At 36.5% G+C, this 4,641-nt stretch overlaps 1 annotated feature.

Moving 5' to 3' along the window:
* Positions 416-616: a silencer, noted in NCBI's record as "peak5054 fragment used in MPRA reporter construct". NCBI's record gives its function as "represses an SCP1 promoter by STARR-seq MPRAs in K562 erythroleukemia cells {active_cell/tissue: K562}" and the evidence as "EXISTENCE:reporter gene assay evidence [ECO:0000049][PMID:32103011]".

Genomic DNA, 4,641 nt, shown 5'->3' on the forward strand with positions numbered 1-4,641 from the left:
CTTTGGTATTCAATAATAAAATTCAGTGAAAAGTAATGGCAAATCATTAAGACAAAACATATTATTACATTGATTTGAAATTGATGAAATTTTGGATAATTCTACCAGCTAAAGAACTTTGACCAGAGGAAGTGCTGCCAGAGAATAAGGGACACATGCAATGTTTACGAACAAAATAAGTTAAACAACTAACTTCAGCCTCCTGATTAACTCTAAAGGATGATCTTATAAGAGCTGTGCAAAAGCACTCCAGCTGATGTGACCTGGTGTCTGCTGTGTGAGGGATGAGACTTTCCACATTTGACTCATCTGAATAGTTTTTCTAACAGCTGTTAGGGAAAGTTGATCCTCAGTCTCTCTCTCTCTCTCTCTCTCTCTCTCTCTCTCTCTCTCTGCCTCTGTATGTGTGTGTGTTTGTGCATGTGTGTCTGTGTGTGTGTATCCATGTATATCCTGCAGTTACACTGACTAATCCAGTTTGCATTACTCAGGAATTTTTGCCAGCTGGTCTTCTAATAATATTCAGACAAAGAGAGATAACTGCAGAATATCAAAGAGAAGGAGGAGAGAAAGCAGCTCCTATCTTACCTGCTCTTTTTCTACCTTGGCCTCGCCTCGCTTTCAGTGGCTGTGTCTCTCTGCAACCCCATCTCTTACCATGTTATCTTGTTTCCACAGTTCCACTTCTTAAGGAACTCTAAAATGTCACTTCTTTTACTTTTCCTTTCCAACCTAGGGTTGATGGAGAGTTTCTTCTCTTGGTAAGTCACAGTTCCTAATTTATTTTCTTAGCTCTGTCAACATTACTAGGAATAGTAACATCCTAAAGCTGAATTATCCTGGGGATACACCTGTAAATAAAATAAAGCCCCTCAGCTTTCAGGCAAAACAAAACAAACTTAGCAGCAAGGAGACCCCAGACAGATTCAGTGGCTTTGGCAACGCTGGAGGTTAGTCGCACCTCATTACTCCCCTTCCCTATAACTGCCACAGGACTTTATTTTCTAGTAATTGAACAGACACCAGTTTCTGAAAAAAATGACTGAAAGATTTTTTCCACCAACGTTGACAGACTGTCTAACATCATGACTAGACTCCCCTCCCTTACTGTGGTTTCTCTAGGACAGCTGACTGGACTTACAAAGCATTCTTTCCTAAGCAATAACGACTGACCACAGACTGGTTTGGACCAGCCCACGATGACTGTGCACAAGGCGCCTTTACGCCCTCTGATTGACTTTTTGATGTAAAGAGACAAGTTTCAGTTCATTTTAATGTTAAGTCTCCATGCCAAAGTGAACATGGGATGAACATACAGGTTTGTTCACCATGCATGTGTTTGGCCTTCTTCATAAATATTCCTAGGATTATTATATATCCTACTGAATATGTATGCATTACTGGTCGGGTCCTGTTAGGCATAAAGCCCAGCCTCTTTTTTTTGTCTCTGAATCATATGCTTTTGGTATTAGTTGGAGACTCTGTTTCCTAGCCTGCAGATTATAACTCTTTGTAACAAATAAATCTCTCTTTTTTTCTTCTTCCACATATCTCACAGTGTTTCATTAACCCACTTTCCTGAAGCTCCTAAGCACCTACCTAGCTCCTAAACTGACAATTTCAATATAATCCAGTAAATTATTATTATCCATGTATATATTTTAAAAAGTCAGTTGACTGGAATAATTGAGAGGGGAAAAGAGACAACCAAGTCTGACTCTTTAGTATTGAATTTAAGCTAAGTGTTGAGAGTATTCCTATTCAAAATGAACACACTGTTCCCTTTGTCCAGAAATCATGGCACAAGGGCTTTGAAAAGGTAGTTTTATGTAGACTATTTCCACTAAAAAACACACTGCGCAGAATTCCATTTGAGTTTGCCTTCTTCCCTACTTCTCAAATGACAGACTTCAAAAATAAATGGAGTACTATACCTATCCTTCAAGTTTGGACACTAAATAAAATAATTGTCTCAGATAGCCTAGAAAAAGTTTAAGGCACCTATACAAATTCAGAGCAAATGCTGAGAAAACACGTTAAAAAAAAAAAAACAGGAGTTGATAACCATTTACCTAATATTAATTTTTTTTCTAAATGACAGACTAAGAAGGCAATCAAGCATAACATATGCTATGGTCTGAATGTGCCCTTTAAAATTCATATATTGAAACTGAATTGCCAATGTGTTAGTACTAAGAGGTGGGCCTTTAAGAGGTGATAAGGTCATGAGGGCAGAACCTTCATGAATGAAATTAGGGGCCTTATAAAAGGGTTTGGAAGAATGGGCTTCTTCTCTTCCACTCTTTGCCATGTAAGAACACAGCATTGGCCCACTATTTATCTTCCATCTTTTCTGCCCTGTAAGAACACCAAGAAGGCACCTTTTATGGCCTTCAGCAGATGCCAAAACTGCTGGTATCTTGATCTAGGACTTTTTAGCTTCCAGAATTGTGTGAAAATAAATTTCTCTTCTCTATAGATTGATGAATCTCTGTTATTTTTTTGTAACAGCAAAAGTAGGTTGAGACAATATGTGAATCTCCAAAAGAGAATATTTGAAATAAAATAAGAATGTGAGGGTAATAGATACTAGATCCAAAATCCGATTAGGAAACAAAATGATAAAAGATATAGGTGAGATGTTAAATTAATTTGAAATAACACTTGAAAGAATTGATAAATAAATTAGAAACAGAAATCAAGGCTTATGGCATTAAAGTGAATTTACTAATTGAAATTATTTAAGGCAATCTCAATGAGCTAAGAATAGTAAAAATTAATTAAAACAATTAGACAAAAAATAATACAGAATGAGGATAGTCAAAATATTTTAACATAGGGACAACTGAAATCTGATGTCCCAAAAGCAGAGAAAAAATGGAACTGAAAATTATCCTAATAATCAAACAAAAATTAATTTCTAGCATAAAAAATGAATATATTAAATCTTGGATTAGCTGTGTTATAAAGACACACTATTAGCCTGGAAAATGTATAAAATATATAAAAATATATTAAAATTAAGCTTCTGAGTTTAAAATGTAATGATTTTTTTCTAGTCAAAATGGAAACTTTAAAAAAAAAATATTTGACAGATCTTAAAAACTCTTTAGTAGCATTTAAAGCTGGAAGACTGAATATTATTTACGCAGTTCCGAAGGGAAGAACGTGAGAGCTAAGTATATGATATTAAGATTTAGATTATGGTCATTCTCACATAAATGCAATGAGTAAATATTGCCAAACTTGATGAGAATTAATATCCATGAGTCTTTATTGAAAGCAAATTCTGTATGACATGTTCAAACCAGAAAAAATTCAAAATATTCTGGAATAATCTCTGATTCAATGGTGAACATTGAATTCCTTCAAATATAGCAAAAAGACCAAAGAAATGTGAAGCAAATAAGTGTCAGAACTATTGACAAGTTATAATTATGACATAAATGATATAAATTGGAGATGAAATTACTTCCATAGCAGAAGTTTAGCTAATGGCTAAAATTAAAATGCGTGGTTAAAAATAATGACTAAAACTATGCATACATATATCATACTATTTCTTAATGTTAGAGACATCTATCAGAGAAAAAAACTATATAAAGATATATATCTAAAATTCAGTAGAGATTAGAGTTCCATTTCAATATCTTTCAGCTAAATCAAATAAAATTATATTTAAAATTTTATTTAAAAATCCACAAATAGTACTAATCCATGAGTGTGGATAACCCCCAAAAAATGGCTATCACACTGGCCGTTTGCTCTTCCTGGTGGAGGGCAGCTGCCCCACATGACAAGGCAAAGGGCCCACTTAGCTGTTAACACCTAAGCCATCCACAGATGGCTGAGCTGAAAGGGCACTGTAACACACCCTCTGGAGCTTCAGGGGGTCACAGGCATCTCTACCTAGATTCTGCCATGGGGCCCGCACACAGTTTGCTCATGCTGGCGCCCAAAAGCAGCTGGCCAGACCCCATACTCACTTGCTTAGGTGCTCCTTCCTACAATGAGTTGAGCCAGGCAAGGTGAGTAAATGGAGTTTGTTCCAGCCAGTGTCCAAAAGTGGTTGTCCAGTTCCTGCACTTGCTCACTCCCGGTTCCTACACTTGTTTGCTTGCATGCTCCCTCCTGCAAGGGATACAAGGACAGGCTGAGTAAATGAGACACCCCTGTTGTGAGTCCCACAAAGGGGTCAAGAAAATATCCTGCATCAATAGGTTAGACTTTATACACAATGGTACTTATCTGGAGGTTTATTAATGACTGCTCTTAAGATATTTTGAAAATTCACTCTTGTCATTATGTTTACATTCATATCCACAGCTGCCCCTTTGACTTTTATGTGAATGATGTCATTAGGCTGATGAGCAAATATGGGAACTCACACCATACAGACCTATGATAAGTAGCTTTATATATCCCATTATTTACACCACAAATGATAAATGCTTTCTTTTTGAGATGACCTACTTTGTGGAACGGATGAGAATGAGATAAGGATTTCATTCAAGGGCAGGGCCAAGATGATGAACTACAAGCAGCTCATGTGTGCTGCTCTCAGAAACAGGAAACAAAAGGGTTAGTGGACCCTGACCCTGCAAGTCAATTATTTGAGAAACCATGTTGGGATCCATCAAA

Source organism: Homo sapiens, chromosome 4, assembly GCF_000001405.40.
Source record: "Homo sapiens chromosome 4, GRCh38.p14 Primary Assembly".
Taxonomy (NCBI): Eukaryota; Metazoa; Chordata; class Mammalia; order Primates; family Hominidae; genus Homo; species Homo sapiens.